Source organism: Homo sapiens, chromosome 18, assembly GCF_000001405.40.
Source record: "Homo sapiens chromosome 18, GRCh38.p14 Primary Assembly".
Taxonomy (NCBI): Eukaryota; Metazoa; Chordata; class Mammalia; order Primates; family Hominidae; genus Homo; species Homo sapiens.
The window spans coordinates 57,693,482-57,716,938 of record NC_000018.10 but is presented as its reverse complement, the minus strand read 5'-3'; the positions used below and the strand labels follow the sequence as shown (position 1 = coordinate 57,716,938).

Sequence of the window (23,457 nt, the reverse complement as noted above, 5' to 3'; positions counted from 1 at the left end):
AAGACTCGTTCTGTGACTTAATATACGTTCTGTCTTTGAGAATGATCCACGTGCTGAGGAAAAGAATGTGTATTCTACAGCTGTTGTATGAAATATTTTATAAATATCTATTTGGTCTATAGTGCAGATTAAGTCCCATGTTTCTTTGTTGATTTTCTGTCTGGAAGATCTGTCCAGTGCTGAAAGTGTAGTGTTGATGTCTCCAGCTATTATTTTACTGGGGTCTATCACTCTCTTTAGCTCTAGTAATATTTGCTTTATATATCTGGGTGCTCCAGTGTAAGGTGGATAAATATTTAAAACTATTATATCCTCTTGCTGAACTGACCTCTTTATCATTATATAGTGACTTTGTCTCTTCTTATAGTTTTGTCTTGAAATCTATTTTGTCTGATATAAATATAGGTATCCTGTTCTTTTTTGCTTTCCATTGGCATGGAATATCTTCTTCAATCCCTTCATTTTCAGTCCAGGTGGAGTGTCTGTTGTAGGCAACAGATCACTGGGTCTTTTTTTTTTTTAAATCTATTCAGCCACTCTATATCTTTTGATTGACAGTTTAGCCCATTTACATTCGATGTTATATTGATAAGTAAGGACTTACTCTTGCCATTTTGTTATGTTTTCCGGTGGCTTTGTGGTCTTCTCTTCCTTCTTTCCTCCCTTCCCTTCTGCCTTTTAGTGAAGGTGGTTTTCTCTTGTGGTGTGCTTTAATTTCCTGCTTTTTATTTTGTATATATCCATTGTATGTTTTTTGATTTGAGGTTACCATGAGGCTTGTAAGTACTGTCTAATAACTCATTATTTTAAGCTAAAAGAAAACTAATAAACTCTACACTTTAACTTCCTCCCTCTGCTTTTTAACTTTTTATTGTTTCTATTTATATCTTATTGTACTATGTCTTGAAAAGTTGTTCTAGTCACTATTTTTTATCAGTTAATCTTTTAGTCATTTTACTGAAGAGTAGTTTACATGTCACAGTCACAGTGTTATACTATTCTGGGTTTTTCTGTATACTTAACTGTTACCAGTGAGTTTTGTGCCTTCAGGTGATTTCTTATTGCTCACTAACATCGTTTACTTTCTGATTAATGTACTCTGTTTAGCATTTCCTGTAGGACAGGTCTAGTGTTGATGAAATCCCTCAGCTTTTGTTTGTCTGGGAAGGTCTTCATTTCTCCTTTATGCTTGAATATATTTTCCTTCAGCACTTTAAATATGTCATGCCACTCTCTCCTGGCCTATAAGGTTTCCACTGAAAAGTCTGCTGCCAGACGTATTGGAGTGCCATTGTATTTTATTTGTTTCTTTTCTTTTGCTGCTTTTAGGATCCTTCCTTTTATCCTTGACTTTTAGGAATTTGATTACTAAATGCCTGAGGTAGTCTTCTTTGGGTTAATCTGCTTGGTGTTCTACAACCTTCTTGTTCTTGGATATTGATATCTTCCTCTAGGTTTGGGAAGTTCTCTGTTATTATCCTTTGAATAAACTTTCTACCCCTGTCTCTTTCTCTACCTCCACTTTAATGCCAATAACTCTTAGATTTGCTTTTTTAAGTCTATTTTCTAGATCTTGTAGGTGTACTTCTTTCTTTTTTATTCTTTTTTCTTCTGTCTCCTCTGACCATATTTTCCAATAGCTTACCTTCCAGCTCACTAATTCTTTGTTCCACTTATTCAATCCTGGTATTAAAAGTCTCTGATGCATTCTTCAGTATGTCGGTTGCATTTTTCAACTCCGGAATTTCAGCTTGACTCTTTTTAATTATTTCAATCTCTGTTACATTTATCTGATAGAATTCTAAACTTTTTCTGTGTTGTCTTGAATTTCTTTGAGTTTCCTCTTTGTTAAGTTTATCTGATAGAGTTCTGAATGTCTTCTCTGTGCTATCTTGAATTTCTTTGAGTTTCCTCAAAATGGCAATTTTGAATTTTCTGTCTGAAAGGTCATATAGTTTTGTTTCTGCAGGTTTGGCCCCTGGTGTCTTATTTAGTTTGTTTGGTGAAGTCATGTTTTCCTGGATGTTCTTGATGCTTGTGGATGTTCATCAATGTCTGGGCATTGAAGAGTTAGATATTTATTGTAGCTCTCACAGTCTGGGCTTGTTTATACCCATCCTTCTTGGGAAGGATTTCCAGGTATTCAAAAGAACTTGGATATTATGATTGAACCCATATCTGCATTAGGGGGCATCCCAAGCTCAATAACGCTGCATTTCTTGCAGACTATCTGGAAGAATTATCTGGATTATCAAGCCCACACTCTTGTTCTTGTTGCTTACTTTCTCCCAAACAGAATCAATCTCTCTCTCTCTCTTTTTTTGCTCTTTCTCTCTCCCCCTTCCCCCCTCCCTCCTCTCCCTTTCTCCTTCTCTCTCTCCCTCTGTTCTGGGCCACCCAGAGCTAGGGGGGTGGAGATACAAGCACCAATATGGCCATCACCACTGAGAATGTACTGGGTCAGACATGAAGCTGGCACCACACTGGGTCTCGCCATGGCCCACTGTAACCATGATCTGGCTGCCTATGTTCCCTCAATGCCCTGTTGTGAAGCCAGCCAGGCTAGCTTCAAGCCAGTGAGTTCCCCCAGGCTGCAGCCAGATCCAGAGATGCCATCTGGGAGCCATGGACTGGAGTCCAAAACCTTAGAAATCTGCTTGGTGTCCTATCTATTCTACTGTGGCTGAGCTGGCACTCAAACCATTAGCCAGTCCTTTCCACTATTCTGCCCTTTCCACAGGCTCAGGGGCCTCTCCCCATGTCCACCACCACCACAGGCCTATGAGGAGTGCTGCCAGGTTACTGCTGATGTTCGGTAAAGGCCTATGGCCTCTTCAGTCAGCTTGTGGTAAATCCTTTCAGTCACCCTTCAGGGCAGTGAGCTCCCCTCTGGCAAAAAGCAAGTCCAGAGATGTCATCCAAGAACCTAAGGCCTAGACTCAGGGACCCCAAGAGGGGTCTCTATTTGTTGCTTTACCCCACTGTGGCCAAGGTGGTAGCAAGTGCAAGGCAGGCTGGGCGCAGTGTCTCATGCCTGTAATCCCAGCACTTTGGGAGGCTGAGGCGGGCAGATCACTTGAGGCCAGGAGTTAGAGACCAGCCTGGCCAACATGGCGAAACCCTGTCTCTACTAAAAATAAAAAAAATTAGGCCGGGCGCGGTGGCTCACTCCTGTAATCCCAGCATGTTGGGAGGTCAAGGTGGGTGGAACACTTGAGGTCAGGAGTTCAAGACTGGCCTGACCAACATGGTGCAACCCCATCTCTACTAAAAATACAAAATTAGCCAAGCATGGTGGCACACACCTCTAATCCCAGCTACTCGGGAGGCTGAGGCAGGAGAATTGCTTGAACCCGGTAGGTGGAGGTTGCAGTGAGCTGAGATCGCACCACTGCACTCCATCCTGGGTGACAGAGTGAGAAACCATCTCAAATAAAATAAAATAAAATAAAATAAAATAAAAAATTTTTAAAAATTAGCTGGGCATGGTGGTACATGCCTGTAATCCCAGCTACTCAGGAGGCTGAGGCATGAGAATTGCTTGAACCCAGGAGGCACAGGTTGCAGTGAGCTGAGATGACACCATTGCACTCCAGCCTGGGCAAAATAGCAAGACTCTATCTCTGAAAAGAAAGAAAGAGAGAGAGAGAGAAAGAAAAAAGAAAGAAAGAAAGAGAAAGAAAGAAAGAAAGAAAGAAGGAAGGAAGGAAGGAAGGAAGGAAGGAAGGAAGGAAGGAAGGAAAGAAAGAAAGAAAGAAAGAAAGAAAGAAAGAAAGAAAGAGAAAGATCAAGAGCAAGACAAAGCACCCTTTAATTTTCCTTCTGCTTTTCTCAAGCGGAAGGAATCTCTCACCATGGCCACCACAGCTGGGAATGTGCTGGGTCACAACTAAAGCCAGAATATCTTAGCCTCAATTAAGGCCCACAGCCTTGGATATTAACTGGGTATCACTACTGTTTATTCAGGGCTCAAGGGCTCTTTCATCAGCAGGTGATGGATCCTGCCAGAGCTGGGTCCTTGCCCTGCAAGGCAGCAGGCTCCCTTCTGATCCAGGATTGTCTAGAAATGTTGTCTGGGAACTAGGGCCTGAAACAGCCTCATGACCCTGCCTGGTGCCCTATCCTACTGTGGCTGAGCTGGTATCCAAGATGCAAGACAAAGTTCTCTTTACTCCTCCCTCTCATCTCCTCAAGCAGAAGGAAGAGGTCTCTTTTGGAGCAGTGAGGTTGGCGGGGAGGGGCCGAGCAAGCATTCCACTAGCTGCTCTGGCTGGTGTCTCAGTAGGTCATGTGCCTGCTAAGTCAACTGGCTCCAAGTCCAGCTCAGCACTAGGACTTGCCTAAGAGTTGTAGTTCATGGGGCCTACACTGCCTTTCAATTTTATTTAGAGCCCCAGGGCACTTTGGCCCTCGGTGACGAGGTTTGCCAGAATTCAAGTTCTGACCAAGGTACAGGAGATTCCCCTCTGGCTAGGGCTGGTCTAAATGCTCCCTCTATGGTCTGGCATCAGCTGAGTTCAGCCTGCTTTTGCTTTCTACTGTCTGTAACAGGGCAGCACTGAGTTCAGTGCAAAGCCTCACAATCGCTGCACTGTCCCTCTCCCAAGCGTACAGATTTTCTCTCCATGCCACACATCTGGTGCTGGGGCTGGGGGAGGGGTGGCATTGGCAATTCAAGACTATTTTTCCTACCCTCTTCAGTCCTTTTTCAGCAATATAAAGTTAAAACCAGGTACTGTGAGTGCCTGATTTTTTGGTTTTTATAAAGGTGCTTTTTTGTTTGTAGATAGTTGTTAAATTTGATGTTCCTATGGGAATTACAATTCGTGCGAGCTTCTATTTGGCCACCTTGCTCCTCTCCATATTCGCCATATATATATATATATATATGCCAATAGAGGGAAGGAGAGGAATCACAAACATTGCTTTAAAACAGTAATACATGTAAATGATCCAATTAGAAAAGGGTCCAGAATGAAAATGAAGTTTTCCTTCCTGCCTCTCCTGTCCCTCAGTCATGCAGTTTCCTTTCCAAAAAAAATACTGCTGGTCTGGGCACGGTGGCTCACACCTGTAATCCCGGCACTCTGGGAGGCCAAGGCAGGAGGATAGCTTGTGGGCAGCAGTTCAAGACCAGCCTGGTCTGCAAAGCAAGACCTCATCTTTACAAAAAAATTTAAAAATTAGGTACGATGGCGTGCACTTTAGTCTCAGCTACTCCAGAAGTTGAGGTGGGAGGATCACTTGAGCCCAGGAGTTCAGAGGCTGCAGTGAGCTATGAGCATGCCACTGCACTCCAGCCCAGGTGCCACAGTGAGACTTTGTCTTTTAAAAAAATGACAAAAAGAAATTACGGTTACCAGTTTCTCAAAATATGTCCTTCCAGAGAGATACACGTTTGTATGCGCAAAGAATGCTTGCAAACTTGCTTCCTCATATACCCATACACATATGCAGAAACAGATGTGCACGTGTGTGTACATATATGCATTCATATTGTGTATGAATTCTATGCATCACACAGCTGAAAGCACAAGATGGTAGATACCCTTCTGCTTTTGTCTCTTAACAGTGTAATTTGGAGGTAATTCCTACCATATTTATGGGGTCACCTCATTCTTTTTTTGCTGACTGCATAGGCTATCATTGTAATCGTGTTTAACTGGCTGTTCCCAGTAGGCATTTGGGTTGTTTCTAGTCGTTCTGATAAATAGGGCTGCATTGAAAATCCCTGCAGTAGGTACATGGGGGATATTTCCTAGAAGTGTGATTATTTGGTCAGTGCATGTGTGTGTTAAATTTTGAGATCTGGCCAAATTACTCTCCATAAAGGCTACCTCAGAGTGTCTGTTTCTCTGCTCTCTTTTGAACCTAGAATGTCATCCCAAGCATTACCATGTGCCAATGTTTTGCTATTATAGGATAAAAACTACTATCTCAGTGAAGAATTGCATTTCTCTTTTAGGAACCCAAATATCTTCTCACAGGTTTAAGAGCCATTTGAGGCCAGGTACAGTGGCTCATGCCCATTATCCCGGCACTTTGGGAGGCCGAGGTGGGCAGATCACCTGAGGTCAGGAGTTCAAGACCAGTCTGGCCAACATGATGAAACCCGGTCTCTACTAAAAATACAAAAATTAGCCGGGCATGATGGTGGGCGCCTGTAACCCCAGCTACTCAGGAGAGTGAGGCAGGAGAATCTCTTGAACCCAGGAGACGGAAGTTGCAGTGAGCTGAGATCGCATCATTGGACTCCAGCCTCAGCGAGAACAGCATTGAATTTCCCTTTGTATGAACTGTCTTTTCATGTCCTTTAGCCATTCTCTCTTCAATTGTTTCTATGGTTTTTTTTTCTTTTTGATGTTGGACTTTTTATCTACTTGTTTTCCTTGTTTGCTGCAGTGTGTACCAACCAGTGCAGCTTCTTGGTTGTTGGTGGGTCTGTAAGCAAGCGTTCGGAGCCAGCACAGAGAGGATGAGAGGAGGGCTGCACTCATCTGCTCTTCCAGATGGCACTGATCAAAGGACGTGGTGATCATGGGAACACTCTGGAGAGCACGTAGCCATATTTAGATATATTGACAACACAACCATTTAGTAGACTCAGGGTGACTTTAAGCCACATGTCACATGGCAGCTGTTAAAATCATCTCTGTACATGTACATGGATAGTTCTGATGGCACACCCTTGTTAGCTTTGTAGCTTTTAGCTAAAGGGCCATATGGTGAAGGTGCATTTTTTGCATTTCTTATTTCTTCTCTTTTCTTTGTCAATATATCCATTCTAGAAAATGAGATGAGCCAGGCACAGTGTGGTGCATGCCTGTAATCCCAGCTACTCTGAAGGCTGAGGCAGGAGGATCACTTGAGCCCAGGAATTTGAGGCCAGCCTAGGCACTGGGCAACATAGTGAGACTCCGTCTCTTAAAAAAAAAAAAAAAGAAAAGAAAAGAAAAAGTGGCCAGGCATGGTGACTCAAGCCTGTAATCCCAGCACTTTGGGAGGTCGAGGCAGGTGGACCACCTGAGGTTAGGAGTTTGAGAACAGCCTGATCAATATGGTGAAACCCTGTCTCTACTAAAAATACAAAAATTAGCCGGGCGTGGTGGTGTGCACCTGTAGTCCCAGCTACTCGGGAGGCTGAGATAGGAGAACTGCTTGAACCTGGGAGGCAGAGGCTGCAGTGAGCTGAGATCGCACCACTGCACTCCACCCTGGATGACAGAACAAGACTGTCTCAAACAAAAAAAAAATGAAAAAAGAAAGAAAAAAGGACAAAAAAAGAAAATGGGGCAAGATGCTTACTCTTTCTGTAAATTATCTTTGTAGTTCAAGTGTCCAGTAAAGTTCTCTGTTCCAAGCAGACACTTAAAATAAATATTTGCTCAAAAAGGTCAATTCCTCCACGTGCTGTTTTGCTGCCCTTCCTAAAGGCATGTGTATCAGTGCAGCACTTCTTAACTGATGTTAATAAGTGTTCTGTGATTTTTTAAAAAGTGCCTATGATTATATTAATTTTGGAAAAGCTATTTTAAATATTAAAGCATTTTAAACATTTAACTTATAAAATAAAATCAGTTTATTTACTACAGGACTTCTCACAGCCTTTAATGTACAAGCAAATCCACCGAACTTCCAAGAGAGGGTTGCAAGGTGCTGTCTTCTGCAAGTGTGTCTGTCCATGGAGCTCTGTTTTCATATTTTCATGGTATCTCATTGAAATACAGCTCAAGCAATTAGCCTAAACTCATAGATGAATAAAGAGTAGACATCAATTTGTTTGTCCCCTGATTTGTCTGAATTAGGCCAAACAAGGATCTTTAACTGGAAATAGGGTTATTGATTACTTGACTGCAGTCAGATTTCTAAAATTGAGTAAAAACGTGTTTGCGGTTCAATTGCAGACAAAGACATACTGGTTACTTTCTCCAGGCTCCCCACAGTATTGGCAGAAGTGTAAAATTAAGAGATCAAGGTCATTTCTGGTAACCCCTCACTGCACCTACTCGAGGTCTGATGCCACCCTCTCTGTCTGAATCATCCAAATCAAAATTGGCCAGGGATGAGGGTATAGTGCTGGGACCAGACAGAGCCACCACCAGCTGGTGGCTTAATTATGAAGCAAATTTATAGAGCCACAAGGGGGATGGACCAGAAGTGGACTGGGAAAGATCATTATGTCCAGCTCCTTAACAGGGCAGTTTCTTCTTTCCACTTGAGTTATTTCTAAAATTGACTTTTTAAAAATCCCTTATTGGCCTTTTCTGTCTTCTTGAGAAATCTTGTCTGTTTTTCTTCTCAGCCTTCCTGAAATGCGTAACAGTGGTTCTGAACAGTGTTCTAGAACCCTGGTGGTGGGGATGTGTCACAAGTCATCTGTGTGCTAAAGTAAACCATTAAAAGCACATGCATTTGCAAATTACCACCAAATAGAATGGATTCAAGAGTACCTTATGTAAGGTCTTATCTACCTACTTTGAGAACGCCTTTTTGAGTGGAATGAGCTGTTCTGATTGCCTATGTGATTACAGTGCTTATGAGTGGCTTTATATTTCCATTTTTATTTTCCCTTTTGATAAGATTGCACTTGAGCTACAAAGATACCAGGAACATTTTCATTTGTAATAACACAACTGTTATGATTACCCGATGAAAGGCAGCCAAAATGATGCGAGAAAAATGTTCAATAGTGATATTGTGGCTTTAAAAAAGCAATCAGGTTAATTATTTGCATTCCTCAATAGTCTACACTTGTTACTTTTTTTTTTTTTTTTTTTTTTTGAGACAGAGTTTCCGTCTGTCGCCCAGGCTGGAGTGCAGTGGCACTATCTCGGCTCACTGCAACCTCTGCCTCCCAGGTTCAAGAGATTCTCCTGCCTCAGCCTCCTGAGTAGCTGGGATTACAGGCATGCACCACCATGCCCCATTACTTTTTTGTGTTTTTAGTAGAGACGGGGTTTCACCATGTTGGCCAGGCTGGTTTTGAACTCCTGACCTCAAGTGATCCATCCACCTCGGCCTCCCAAAGTGCTAGGATTACAGGCATGAGCCACCATGCTCGGCCTACACTTGTTACTCTTGCCATATTGTCTATATTTCCTTTGGAGTAGGAGTCTAGAAAATACATCATTTTGCCAGGCACAGTGGCTCACGCCTGTAATCCCAGGACTTTGGGAGGCCAAGGCTGGTGGATCACCAGGTCAGAAGTTCAAGACCAGACTGGCCAATATGGTGAAACCCCGTCTCTACTAAAAATACAAAAATTAGCCGGGTGTGGTGGCAGGCACCTGTAATCCCAGCTACTCAGGAGGCTGAGGCAGAAGAATCACTTGAACCCGGGAGGCAGAGGTTGCAGTGAGCCGAGATCACACAATCTTTATTATTATAGTTGTTAAGACTGATATTTTTGTAATTTTTTACTTTCAAGTGTCTTTTAATATATTCCCATCTCCAAAAATAGTTGTGCCACACTCATTGTTAATTTCTCTTCTCTGCCAATTTGGTGGGGATTCATCAACACCTAGTTCTCTCCATTATGTGCGTCACTCAAGGGAGCTTCATCCAGCATGCATGTTCATGGAGAACTTGGTGCCAAAGAGGTGCTTCCTCATTCTCTTTTCTTTTCTTTTCTGTTTGTTTTTTTGAGATGGAGTCTTGCTCTGTCGCCCAGGCTAGAGTGCAGTGGCGCAATCTCAGCTCACTGCAACCTCCACCTCCCGGGTTCAAACAATTTTCCTGCCTCAGCCTCCTGAGAAGCTGGGATTACAGGTGCCCGCCACTGCACCTGGCTATTTTTAGTAGAGACGGGGTTTCACCACCTTGGCCAGGCTGGTCTTGAACTCCTGACCTCGTGATTCACCCGCCTTGGCCTCCCAAAGTGCTGGGATTACAGGCGTGAGCCACCGCGCCCGGCCTGCTTCCTCATTTTCTTCCTGATTTATAGCATGCTTGCCTCCAGCTTTCATAGCAGCAGCATGCTTATGCCTTCCTCGAGGCATCAAGATGTCAGCAGGATCGATTCCTTCTGAGAGCTACAAGGGAGAGATCTGTTCTAGGCTTCTCTCCTTGGCTTGCAGATGGCCATTTTCTCCCTGTGACTTCGCATCGTCTTCCATCTATCTCTGTGTCCAAATTTCCCTTTTTGTAAAGGTATCAGTCATGTTGAATTAGGGTCCTCTCTAATGACTTCACTTTAATTTGATTACATCTGCAATGAGCAGTTTCCAAATAAGGTCACATTCTGAGGGATGGAGGTTTAGGACTTCAACATTTGAATCTGGGGAAGACACAATTCAACTCATAACAACATGTTAATTTGCTACTTACGAACTTTTCTCCCTTTTTTTTAAAGAATGTACATGGCAAGTCAAAGCAAACGATCGCAAGTACCACGAACAACCTCACTTTATGAACACAAAATTCTTGTGTATTAAGGAGAGTAAATATGCGGTGAGTTGTTAACTTTCTGAATTGTTTTCATTAAAATGCAGTTTTTTCCAGTAGCTGGCATGCTTACTACCTTCATGCTACACCTGCCTTCCACGTAACCACCTGCCTGGGGCTACTGATAATCATCATTGTTTCTATAGAATGTCATTTTTATTGATGTTTACCTTTGGGGTGGGTAGCGGGTGACTTGAAACAAAACAGAATTATGTAGATTGAAATTTTCTCTCTCTTTTTTAAATTTTAAGCTCTCTTAGAAATGTTTTATGAAAGAATATACAATGATGGCACAGAAGCCTCCTGTTTGAAAGTAATGAGTTTGAAAGGAATCTCTTAAGAACTTATCTTCCCCTTCTCTGCCTGGAATGGATTTAGAGATTTTAAACATATTTTTGACTCAAAAATGCTTATTACCTTTGGAATGTGATAAAGAATGCTTAAAGATTAAATGCGAAATACAAAAATTAGCCTGGAGTGGTGGCATGTGCCCACAGTCTCAGCTACTTGGGAGGCTGAGCCAAGAGAATCGCTTGAGCCCAGGAGGCAGAGGTTTCAGTGAGCTGAAATTGTGCCATTGCACTCCAGCTTGGGTGACAGGAGTGAGACTCTGTCTCAATAATAATAATAATAATAAATATTAAGTGTGGGCTTAAATGTTGTAAGATGTGTGTTTTAATGCCAAGGGCTTCCATAGCAGAGTACCACAACTGGATGGCTTAAAACAACAGAAGTTTACTCTCTCCTGATGCAGGGATCAGAAGTCTGAAATCTTGGTGTTGGCAGGGTTGGCTCCTTCTGGAGCCTCTGCAGGAGAATCTGTTCCCTGCCTCTCCCCTGGCTTCTGGTGGCCACTGGCAATCCTTGGAGTTCCTTGGCTTACAGATGAAGTCACCCCAATCTCTGCTTCCATCTTCAAGGGGCACTCTTCCTGTGTGTGTCTGTGTGCAACTTTCCTCTTATAGGGACCCCAGTCCGAATAAGCACCTCATTAAATTAGAGCCTGTCCTAATCACGTATGACTTCATCTTGATTATCTCTGCGAAGATCCTATTTCCAAATAAGATCCCATTCATAGATATTAGTGTTAAGACCTGAACATATCTTTTGCAGGACACAATGCAACCCACTACAGTACCTTTTGCTCTTTCTTACATAGTAGGCTCTGTCTCCTCACTTAAATAAAAGCCTCACTTTTCCTGGCTTTGGCCATGTTGTTGTCTACCTTTACCCTGTTTTCTAACAGTCTCTAATGGGTCAAGGAATCTGACAGCAGGATTTATTTGGTCACAGTCTGATGTCTGTTTCTTGTTACTGCCTCTGTCATAAGACTCCAAGTAGTCATTTTGAGGCTTGGCTGCTTGGCTAGAATTAAAAGCTTAAAAGAAATATCAGTATCTTTCTTTCTTCTTTTCTTTTTTAAGGCAGAGTCTCACTCTGTCACTCAGGCTGGAGTGCAGTGGGGCGATCTGCAACTTCTGCCTCCCTGGTTCAAGCGATTCTCCTGCCTCAGCCTCCCAAGTATCTGGGATTACAGGTGCAGGCCACCACGCCTGGCTAATTTTTGTATTTTTAGTAGAGGTGGGGTTTCACCATGTTGGCTAGGCTGGTCTCAAACTCCTAGGCTCAGGTGATCCACCCACCTCGGTCTCCCAAAGCGCTGGGATTGCAGGCATAAGCCACCGCACCCAGACAAAATCCTCAATATCTTTCTGACAGATGATGTTCCTTTGTCACTGTAAGCTGTGGGACTTGTGACTTTTGCAGATGTGTATACATTGTGATAAATACAGCATCATTTAGAATGACTCTTATTTTTTCCAACAGAATAATGCAATTAAAACATACAAGTACAACGCATTTACCTTTATACCAATGAATCTGTTTGAGCAGTTTAAGAGAGCAGCCAATTTATATTTCCTGGCTCTTCTTATCTTACAGGTAATGCCCTTTGCTATCTTAAATCTGTTTGAATTATAGTGACTCGATAACATTTAAGCTGTAGACACATATAATGTGAATAATCTTGAAAGTGTTTTATATTAGCATCAGGGTTCTGTACATAAAGGAACAGTGCCTCATACACAGAACCAGCTCAATCAGTGTTATATGAACAGGGAAAGGGAGCAAATGGAAATATTATTCTAATTCTGTATTTTAAAAAATTTCATGTTATACTGATATGGGTGTTAAAATTGGTATCCCTGAAGTGAATAAAACTAAAATCCAGCCAGGCTCAGTGGCCCACGCCTATAATCCCAGCACTTTGGGAGGCCGAGGCGGGTGGATCACCTCGGGTGAGGAGTTCCAGACCACCCTGGCTAACATGGTTAAACCCCGTTTCTACTAAAAATACAAAAAATTAGCCAGGCGTGATGGTGCATGCCTATAATCCCAGCTACTCGGGAGACTGAGGCAAGAGAATCGCTTGAACCCAGGAGGCGGAGGTTGCAGTGAGCCGAGATCACACCATTGCACTCCAGCTTGGACAACAAGAGCTAAACTCCATCTTAAAAAAAAATAAAATAAAATCCTTACTTTGTAAAATTATTTGCACCTTAAAATTAAAGCTATTTTGTGCTTGTCTTTTATCATTGTAGTTAGATGCTGAATTTCCCCCCCAAAAAGATCATTGATTTTTTATTAAAATTTTGGTCATAAATTTCAGTAAGTTATTTTTGTGAACTGTTTTTACATTTTAAAAGGCCTACTTAAAAATTTTTTTTCCTAATTGTGGCAAAGCATCCAGTTATCCAGAGAGCATGAGTTTAGCTGTGCAAGAACTGTTGCTGTAACCGAGGGAACTCTACACACACTAGTTAGCGCCAGAATCAACCTTTAGTGTCTGCCGTGCGGATTACATAGCTTAAGCTCAGAATATCCACCTGGTTTTTTCAGATTCTTTTTTTTTTTTTTTTTGAGACCGTGTTTCGCTCTTGTCGTCCAGGCTGGAGTGCAGTGGCACCATCTTGGCTCACTGCAACCTCCTCCTCCTTCTCTTGGGTTCAAGCGATTCTCCTGCCTCAGCCCCCTGAGTAGCTGGGATCACAGTTGCCAGCCACCACGCCCAGCTAATTTTTGTATTTTTAGTAGAGACAGGGTTTCACCATGTTGACCAGGCTGGTCTCAAACTCCTGAATTCAGGTGATCCACCCGCCTCAGCCTCCCCAAGTGCTGGGATTACAAGCATGAGCCACTGCGCCCGGCACTTTATCAGATTCTTTACGGCAAGCATTGGATTTGGAAAAGTTATACCTGCTGGGATTGACCCTTTAAGGTTTTATGAAAATGGGGTAGAATGTGTGTCTAGGTGGGGATGGAGGATGCGTGGAGAGGAGAGAAAAAGAAGAGACGATGGTAAGGAGAAATGGATAGGCAATGATTTAGGAAACTGTAAGACCTTCAAGTCAGATAGTAAAGGATGGCCCTGTTATCAAAGGAGATGCTTAGAAAGGTGTGTGTAGAGGTTAGCACTGCAAACTCCAAGGTGCTGCTCTGTAGGAAGTAGACCATTTTCCCTTACTTCCTTCTAGCAGGGAAGAGGAGTTTCACATATTCACTGTGATGTGGGAAGAAGGATCTTTTTGTCTTCTAACTGCACCCCAGTTATCTTCTCTCTCTCTTTTTTTTTTTTTTTTGAGATGGAGTTTCGCTCCTGTTATCAAGGCTGGAGTGCAATGGCGTGATCTCAGCTCACCAAAACCTCTGCCTCCCAGGTTCAAGCTATTCTCCTGCCTCAGCCTCCTGAGTAGCTGGGATTACAGGCATGCGCCACCACACCTGGCTAATTTTGTATTTTTAGTAGAGACGGCGTTTCTCTATGTTGGTCAGGCTGGTCTCGAACTTCCAACCTCAGGTGATCCGCCCACCTCGGCCTCCCAAAGTGTTGGGATTACAAGCATGAGCTACCGTGCCTGGCGCAGTTATCTTCTCTTAAGGTCAGCAATCCAAATTAGGGTAACAGTAATAGCCGTAGGCAGCTTCTTAACTTGTGTTGTCACTACACTTAATTCTTCTAGTCTAGAAGGTCAGGCCTGGCATGACCTCCATTTTGCAGAGAAAAGCTGAGGCCTAGTAAGCTAAAGTAACTTGCTCAAAGTCCCATAAGCCATAAATGATAGAGCTGACCAAGACTTGGATCTAGGAGTTGACTCCAAAGCCTGTCATTTTAACCACTACATTATACAGCCCAGTGATCAGGAGGATGGTTATGAAATAACTTTATTAAACTTGCATCCCAATCTTTGTTCAAACTTAGAGGCTGTCTTGATGGAGGAAGGCCAGCTCACTTTCTTGGATAGGCCAATAGTGATGATCATGAAGGAAGCACTTTCTTCTAATGCCCTCAGAGATGCTCTCCCTAATCCCTCACTTTCAGAGGCAGCTAGTACCTCTTGCCATCATTGCCTTCAGCATGGGATCCTCAGAAACCACTGACTGAGAAACCTGCAGTATAGAACCTACTATGCATGCATTCCTTAAAAGTTAAGATGACTTTGGCCAGGCACGGTGGCTCACACCTGTAATCCCGGCACTTTGGGAGGCTGAGGCAGGAGGATTGCCTGAGGTCAGGAGTTCGAGACCAGCCTGGCCAACATGGTGAAAACCCATCTCTACTAAAAATACAAAAAAATTAGCCGGGGGTGGTGGCACACACCTGTAATCCCAGCTACTCAGGAGGCTGAAGCAGGAGAATCGCTTGAGCCTGGGAGGCGGAGGTTGCATTGAGCCAAAATTGTGCCACTGCACTCCAGCCTGGGTGACAGAGGGAGACTCTGTCTCAAAAAAAAAAAAAGAAAAAAAAAGTTAAGACGAGACTTCTCCCTTGCCACTCCTACCCCCTCACCCCCAGTTAAATATGATTTTCACAAAAGATTTAGAGCAACTCTTTTTTAGGTATCATAATACAAAACTTCCTTGGTGTCCAGTTAAGTTTGCAATGAGATAATTTCAGGAGCCACTGCCCTCTAGGCTCTGTTCCAGGTATCCAGAAGCTAGAGAGAACCACTAGAAGGAGGTTGTCCAAATGCTTGAAGAGCCTTTCCTATATACTCTGCAGGATGTAGACTTATGTGATGACGGTGATGAGACTTGGAATTAGCAAGCTTAGAATTAGCAATAAGTTACCTGTAAGCTTGATATGCCTTCATGGACACACACATAAGCCCTTTTATTCTTTTAGGCAGTTCCTCAAATCTCTACCCTGGCTTGGTACACCACACTAGTGCCCCTGCTTGTGGTGCTGGGCGTCACTGCAATCAAAGACCTGGTGGACGATGTGGTGAGGATTTCTCATACAACGTTCTACTCATTGCTTTGAGTTGACTTTAAGTTCTCGTGCCTTCCTTCTCTATTGAGATGTTTAAAACAGCATTTCCCCATCTTCCTTCTCAAGGCTCGCCATAAAATGGATAAGGAAATCAACAATAGGACGTGTGAAGTCATTAAGGATGGCAGGTACTGTGTCTAATTAGTAACTGAGTTTCAAGGATGTAATGCATAACTCTGCCTAGAAACACATTCAGAGATAATTATTACAATGTAGAAGGCTATTAGTACATTAACTGTTTATTTTTTTCGAGATAGAGTCTCGCTCTGTCGCCCAGGCTGGAGTGCAGTAGCGTTATCTCGGCTCACTGCAACTTCCACCTCCCAGGTTCAAGCAATTTTCCTGCCTCAGCCTCCGAGTAGATGGGATTACAGGCGTGCACCACCATGCTCAGCTAATTTTGTACTTTTAGTAGAGATGGGGTTTCACCATGTTGGCCAGGCTGGTCTCAAACTCCTGACCTCAAGTTATCCTCCTTGATCTCCCAAAGTGTTGGGATTACAGGTGTAAGCCACCATGCCTGGCCTTAAATTATCTTTTTAATGAGTATGTACCCCTGTTGTAATAAATCTAATAAGGATAGTGATAAAAATAGATAAAAAGATGACTATTTTGAGTACTAAATTCCATAGGAAATATTCATTAAAATTTTTAACATATCAACACTTTTAAAAGTTTTAAACTATAATATTGTTTTAAAGATTTTCACATATACAAATGATATACCCAGTGGACGTAATGAACCTGCTATAAATAATAAACTTAATTTCACTGGAGGCAGTCGTCTAATCACTATGTGTTTATCTGCCATTCATTTATGGCCAAAAATGACTTGGAGATTTAAAATACTTTTTAAATATATGTTTATGCCCCAGTTCCCCTAATGAATTTAGTATACAATTCTTAACTCCAGCATTAAAAAAAAAATTTGGCTTATCTTTCAATTGACGAAATTGTAGATGTTTTACATTTCAGTATTTCTGAAATTTTAAAATAGAAATTTGCATGTAAGTCCGAAATGACAAATGGATAGGCCAGCACCTTCTTAGCAGGGCTACTGGAAGGCAATTCTGAATACTGAAATATTGGAGGCAATTCTGTTAGATTCTTCTATCCGATGTTCCAGTTTCCTCTGAGGAGGCCCCCTGTGCTCTACCCTGCTAATGCTCAAGTTCCTATAGGTGTGACCCCACTGCAGGGGCTGCTCAGGCCATGGCCCTGCCAGACATGCACCCTAGACTTCCAAATTCAAGGCAACCCAGAGCTCCTCTTTACCAGTGTAGGTAGGTATGGTACAGGCTAAACATATGGGTTGGCCAGGCACGGTGGCTCACGCCTGTAATCTCAGCACTTTGGGAGGCCGAGGCAGGAGGATCACTTGAGGCCAGGAGTTCGAGGCCAGCCTGGAAAACTTAGTGAGACTCCTGTCTTTTTTTTTATTTTTTTGAGACGGAGTCTCGCTCTGTCGCCCAGGCTGGAGTGCAGTGGCGCGATCTCCGCTCACTGCAAGCTCCGCCTCCCGGGTTCACAGCATCCTGCCTCAGCTTCCCGAGTAGCTGGGACTACAGGCGCCCGCCACTGCACCTGGCTAATTTTTTGTATTTTTAGTAGAGATGGGGTTTCACCGTGGTCTTAATCTCCTGACCTCATGATCCACTCACCTCGGCCTCCCAAAGTGCTGGGATTACAGGCGTGAGCCACCGGGCCCGGCCGAGACTCCTGTCTTAACAACAACAACCTCCTCTGCTAGGCTCATTGGGACACTTATTCTATTTTACTGAATGAAGTGTTTCCTAATCCTAGAATTGTAAATAAAGCCAATTAAGATCTTTAAATTGTTGTGATTTTGTCTTTTGACACTTGAAAGGTAACTTTGGAACATAATTTTCTTATTTGCAAAGGAAAAAAAGCCATCTAAACATATTTATAGCTTGGTATAGTCTATATTTGCATTAGAGTGGAAGTACGGCTGTAAGTCAGGTTACTTTCCTCAGTGTTGACACATAAAAAGTCTTGGAATGAGGCCTTAGTTACTATTTTTAGCACTTGAATTTGCAGTTCTGCCTGAAGCCTCCTGCTCAAAAAACAACTCATTACTGATCCCTGAGTTGGTGCTTTCGTCACAGTTGACTACGTTAATTTAACAAACACTTATGGAGTACTTTCTGCATGTTGGAGGCAGGACAGTATCCTTGAGAAATTTATAGTTCAAGACAGAAGATGAGACACCTACACACATCATTCTAATAAAATCCATATCAGAATAAAAAAGATAAAAACAAAATGCTCTGACAGTACAGGGAAGGGAAAATTCACTTTAGCGAGGGAATGTGGGGAAAGATGTCAAGACGTGAGCAAAGCCCTGAAAATGATGCCCTAGGGAGGCTGAAGGGGCTGTGTAAACACAAGTTGTGGTGACAACACAAAGCTCCATCAGACAACTGACCATAATCCAATTTGAGTGTAGCCTCAGGGCCTTAAAGGGAATACAGTGTCTTTGTCAGTTAAGCCTTTACAATTAAGAAGTTAACCGGCCAGGTGAGGTGGCTCATGCCTATAATCCCAGCACTTTGGGAGGCCGAGGTGGGTGGATCACCTGAGGTCAGGAGTTCGAGACCAGCCTGGCCAATATGGTAAAAACTCATCTCTAAAAAATTAGTCAGGCGTGAAGGCACGTGCCTGTAGTCCCAGCTACTCGGGAGGCTGAGGCAGGAGGATCTCTTGAACCCCAGGAGGCAGAAGTTGCAGTGAGCTGAGATCGTGCCACTGCACTCCAGCCTGGGCAACAGAGCAAGACTCTGTCTCAATGAAAAAAAAAATTAATAAATAAATAATAAAGATAATTTAAACAGCAGAGAGTAGGCAAGCTCTGAAGCCCCACGAAGACTCTGGGAGGCCCAGGTGGGTGCCATAATGTAGGTGCTTCTGTCCTGGGACCAGCATGGAGCAAGTGATGGGTCACTGAGAAGGAACACAGCAGGGAGGCAAGTTGGACATAAGCAAAAACAAAAGGGGGTGGCAAGTATTTCCCTGCCACGCACATAAGTGGCCCCCATAAACTCTTCCTTACATGACCTAGATGAAAAGAATGTATCAAAGTCATTCATCATTGCTTCCTTCAGAGGTCAATACAATTTTCATGCCCCCCTTTAATATGTTTACATCCATTAAAGAGCAAAATTTTAGCATTTTCTCTGTGACTTGCATATTTTCCAGAATCTATAACATCCAGAAAGAATAGTAATTCCCTTGCCTGTAACTTAAAATGTCAATAAATCCTCATTATTTTTAATCCTTAGGTTCAAAGTTGCTAAGTGGAAAGAAATTCAAGTTGGAGACGTCATTCGTCTGAAAAAAAATGATTTTGTTCCAGTAAGTGAACAAATTCTGCTTCTCTTGTTCCTTGTTCTCCCCCAGCCCCTGTGCTCGGCTTTTCCCTCAGGGTCTCGGTGTTATTTGTGTGTTTTGTTTTGGACAGGCTGACATTCTCCTGCTGTCTAGCTCTGAGCCTAACAGCCTCTGCTATGTGGAAACAGCAGAACTGGATGGGTAAGTGTGTCTCGATGGGCCTGATTTAAAGCTGGCCTTTGAAGGCACATTCATTCCACTGAAATCGGGGCATTGTGGACCAGACGGCTTGATATCTGGCCTTGCCTCTGCCACCTGCTGCTGTCCCTACTGATCTCACCTTTGCGCCTCTGTGAAGTGGAGCTCTTACTACCTGCGTTTCTCCACCTCTCAGGGAAGGTAAAAGGATCAGACAGGAGCATATGTGTCTGAGCCCTTTATCAACTGCTGAGCAGCGTCCAGACAGATATGAATAATATCGAGGTTATTATCTGTGTCAGAGAAAGGAACAGATTTTTAAAGTCTTTACCAATAGGCAATTTATTTATTTATTTTTGAGACAGAGTCTCACTCTGTCGCCCAGGCTGGAGTGTAGTGGTGCTATCTCAGCTCACTGCAACCTCCACACCCCCTGGGTTCAAACAATTCTCCTGCCTCAGCCTCTTGAGTAACTGAGATTACAGGCTCCAGCCCCCACACCCAGCTAATTTTTGCATTTTTAGTAGAGATGGGGTTTCACCATGTTAGCCAGGCTGGTCTCGAACTCCTGATCTCAAGTGATCTGCCCACCTTGGCCTGCCAAATTGCTGGGATTACAGGGGTGAGCCACAGCAGCTGGCCCCAGGAGGCAATTTTGAATTCTCCTTGTGTTGGTTTTGGTTACTATGCTATCATTTAAAAGAGAATGAAGTTCTGTTTTTGACCAGTTTTCTGACCAGTTTTCAAGGCATTTATTGAGTGCTCACGAGGTTGCCGGCACTTTACATATTAGCTCATTTAATCCTCTAAACGACCATGTGAGACGAATATTATTCGTCTGTATTACCCATGAGGAATCGGAGGCCCAGGGAGGTGCAGCAGCCCGCCCAAGGTCACACAGTAAGTGGTAGAGTCGGGACATTGCTCCCTCTGCTCCTCGCGCCTCACGCTCCAGATGTGCATACACTGCTTTACAGAGAGCGGAAATCATGAGACTGAAAACTAGGGCTGTCATTGCTTCATAGATCAGGCAATTGACTGTTGGAAATCTATCACACTTTTTTTTTTTTTTTGGCGGAAAAAAATACTTAAAGCCAATTAACCACTTCTTAATTGTACAGGCTAATTGGTTAAAAACCAATTAACCACTTCTTAATTGTAAAGGCTTAACTGACAAAGACACTGCATTCTCTTTAAGGCCCCGAGGCTATACCCAAATTGGATTATGGGCAGTTGCCTGATAGAGCTTTCTGTTGTCAGGTTGGTCTCAAACTCCTGACCTCAAGTGATCTGCCTGCCTCTGCCTCCCAAAGTGCTGCCATTACATGCGTGAGCCGCGGCGCCCGACTGTTTATTCTCAACTATAAAACTGCTATTATTTCCATGAGAGATTCTAAAGCTTTACAAAGACATAAGATCCTAACATGCCCTGCCAGAACAGAATGGTGAGGTTGAGAATGAACTTCCCTAGGGAAAATTCCTGAGTATTCGTGAATCCTATATAAAGCCTTCAGTCGTGAGACGGCAGCCTCACCCTTGAGAGCACCTGCCCCGGCCTGCCCTTGTGCCCACCCACGACCTTACCTTGCACTATGGTGGGGCAGTTGGGAGTAAAGCTAAGACTTCCTTTTCCAAATAAAATTGTCTTTCAAAAACATGTGATCCAGTTATTCACTCTGGAAAAGAATTTGACAGAGGCGAAACAGAATTTCTGTAACAAATATGTGTTATAGAATCATTTTAATGTGATTAAATATTAGACACTACATTTTCAAACAGCACTTTGGTAGTCCTAGCTGATGGTAAAGTTAAAGTTAATGAGAAGGATGTTTGTGGGTACCTCTGTCCTAACCTTCACAACAACAAACAGTGAAGGGAACCAACATTTCCCAAGGTCAGAAATTTTCTCGACTTCAGGGGATAACCTTTTCCAAACCTGAAGTTCCAAGGTGAACAGAGTTTGAAAATAGAAACAGCTAATTATTTAGGCTTCATGTCCAGGTATGGCTAATGTAACTTTGGATGATTAACTTCCACTTTGAACTCAAAAATTTGTTCATTTAATTCATTTTTTCCCCATTCCTTTAGAGAAACCAATTTAAAATTTAAGATGTCACTTGAAATCACAGACCAGTACCTCCAAAGAGAAGATACATTGGCTACATTTGATGGTTTGTACCAAACATGTCTTACTTTGCTTTAAATTTTAGTTGCTTGGTTCAATTCCTATTGATTAAAACCAGAAAGACTTTTGTATGTGATTAATTATGTGAATCTTATATTTTTAAAAGGTTTTATTGAATGTGAAGAACCCAATAACAGACTAGATAAGTTTACAGGAACACTATTTTGGAGAAACACAAGTTTTCCTTTGGATGCTGATAAAATTTTGTTACGTGGCTGTGTAATTAGGAACACCGATTTCTGCCACGGCTTAGTCATTTTTGCAGGTACGTTCAGAGTTTCTTGGGAAATTAATCAGCTATGATCTTTAAAGACTTAGAGGGGATTGCTTTTCTGTCCTTTGTCCATCAAAACCAAAAGAAGAGTAATAGCATCATGAGCTTTTTTTTTTTTTTTTTTTTTTTTTTGAGACAGAGTCTCACTCTGTAGCCCAGGCTGGAGTGCAGTGGCATAATCTCAGCTCACTGCAACCTCTGTCTCCTGGGTTCAAGTGATTCTCCTGTCTCAGGCTCCAGAGTAGTTGGGATTATAGGCATGTGCCACCATGCCCAGATAATTTTTGTATTTTTAGTAGAGACAGGGTTTTGCCATGTTGGCCAGGCTGGCCTCGAACCCCTGACCTCAGGTGATCCGCCCAACTCAGCCTCCAAAACTGCTGGGATTACAGGCGTAAGCCACCATGCCTGGCCAAGAAGAGTAATTTTATTGGTGAGCTAGTGAATTGATTTTTCCCAACTGATGACTACATTGAATTTTCCATTTTCAGGTGCTGACACTAAAATAATGAAGAATAGTGGGAAAACCAGATTTAAAAGAACTAAAATTGATTACTTGATGAACTACATGGTTTACACGGTATTTATTTTTCATCTCAGTAGATCTCTCATCTAGATTGCTGTCTTTTGCACTAATATTATCGTATGTTTTTCTAATACAAAATCTTACCTCTTTAGGTGGAATAGAAAAATTATTGGGCACTCCAAGCTTCAAATGCAGGAAGAAGGGATTTTTTTTTCCAGAAATGCCTTACTTTTTCTCAGAAATGCCACACTTTTAACAGGAGAATTCCCTTGGGAAGGGAAATTTCGGTTGTAGGGTGCCCTGAGTGCTTTGATGACGGGAACTGGAAAACCAGGAAGCCCTAGATAAATTAGTGAAGCTGGACTCCTGAAGTCAATGTAGGGTTGATTTCATTGCTGTTACTTTCCCATAGAGGCAGTTCTCTTAGAAGCAAGCCTCCCCCAGCACCCCCAACATATACTGTATAGCTCCAAATACAAGGCAAGGCTAAAAATAAAGTATGTCGAGGACACTCAAGACCACTCCCAGGTTTGATGATTCACTGGAAGGACTCATAGGCCTCAGCACATAGTCGTATTCACAGCTGTGAGTCATTACAACAAAAGGACACAGAGCAAGATCACCAAAGACTCATGGAGCAAAGTGCAAAGGAAACCAGGCACAAGCTTCCAAAAGTCGGCCGTCCTGCCCCCACTCCCCACCAAACCACACACACAATAGGCACTTAATTCTCCCAGCAGCAATTAATGACACCACATGTGAAATGTTGTCTATACCAGGGAAGCTCATGAGAGACTCAGTGTCAAAGGTTTTTAACAAAAAAACTCTAGACTCCCCAAAAGAATGCAGATGGTCAGCATAAACCATGCTGTTTGCACAGTTAGGCATCATGAGTTTTTTTATTATTATTATTATTTGTTTTTTTTTGAGATTGAGTTTCACTCTTGTTGCCCAGGCTGGAGTACAATGGCATGATCTTGGCTCACTGCAATCTCCGTCTCCCAGGTTCAAGTGATTCTCCTGCCTCAGCCTCCCAAGTAGCTGGGATTACAGGCACCTGCCACCACACCTGGCTAATTTTTGTATTTTTAGTAGAGACGGGGTTTCACCATGTTGGCCAGGCTGGTCTCGAACCCCTGACCTCAAGTGATCTG

General features: G+C 42.8%; 1 protein-coding gene across 12 annotated transcripts in view, besides 4 other annotated features; it reads left to right on the top strand.

Moving 5' to 3' along the window:
* The window catches only part of ATP8B1 (ATPase phospholipid transporting 8B1), a 156,890-nt gene that overhangs the window by 86,377 nt on the left and 47,056 nt on the right, over positions 1–23,457 (top strand). For 8 of the 12 annotated variants that reach the window (NM_005603.6, NM_001374385.1, XM_047437543.1 and 5 more), the window contains exons 3-11: positions 10,352–10,449; positions 12,271–12,384; positions 15,626–15,724; positions 15,839–15,900; positions 19,072–19,144; positions 19,251–19,321; positions 21,407–21,489; positions 21,610–21,768; positions 22,269–22,357. In NM_005603.6, coding sequence (NP_005594.2) covers positions 10,352–10,449; positions 12,271–12,384; positions 15,626–15,724; positions 15,839–15,900; positions 19,072–19,144; positions 19,251–19,321; positions 21,407–21,489; positions 21,610–21,768; positions 22,269–22,357 — 848 coding nt within the window. The remainder of the gene's footprint in view (positions 1–10,351; positions 10,450–12,270; positions 12,385–15,625; positions 15,725–15,838; positions 15,901–19,071; positions 19,145–19,250; positions 19,322–21,406; positions 21,490–21,609; positions 21,769–22,268; positions 22,358–23,457) is intronic. The other 4 variants (XM_047437547.1, XM_011526023.4, XM_047437548.1 and 1 more) reach the window with 2 other exon arrangements.
* Positions 3,282–3,784: an enhancer, noted in NCBI's record as "H3K27ac-H3K4me1 hESC enhancer chr18:55380387-55380889 (GRCh37/hg19 assembly coordinates)". NCBI's record gives its function as "activates a minimal SCP1, AML or CMV promoter by ChIP-STARR-seq in naive H9 embryonic stem cells {active_cell/tissue: H9 hESC(naive)}" and the evidence as "EXISTENCE:reporter gene assay evidence [ECO:0000049][PMID:30033119]".
* Positions 17,235–17,918: an enhancer, noted in NCBI's record as "H3K27ac hESC enhancer chr18:55366253-55366936 (GRCh37/hg19 assembly coordinates)". NCBI's record gives its function as "activates a minimal SCP1, AML or CMV promoter by ChIP-STARR-seq in primed H9 embryonic stem cells {active_cell/tissue: H9 hESC(primed)}" and the evidence as "EXISTENCE:reporter gene assay evidence [ECO:0000049][PMID:30033119]".
* Positions 17,895–18,095: a silencer, noted in NCBI's record as "peak3164 fragment used in MPRA reporter construct". NCBI's record gives its function as "represses an SCP1 promoter by STARR-seq MPRAs in K562 erythroleukemia cells {active_cell/tissue: K562}" and the evidence as "EXISTENCE:reporter gene assay evidence [ECO:0000049][PMID:32103011]".
* Positions 22,053–23,252: an enhancer, noted in NCBI's record as "CDK7 strongly-dependent group 2 enhancer chr18:55360919-55362118 (GRCh37/hg19 assembly coordinates)". NCBI's record gives its function as "activates an origin of replication core promoter dependent on BRD2, BRD4, P300/CBP, MED14 and CDK7 cofactors, with strong dependence on CDK7, by STARR-seq in HCT116 cells {active_cell/tissue: HCT116}" and the evidence as "EXISTENCE:reporter gene assay evidence [ECO:0000049][PMID:35650434]".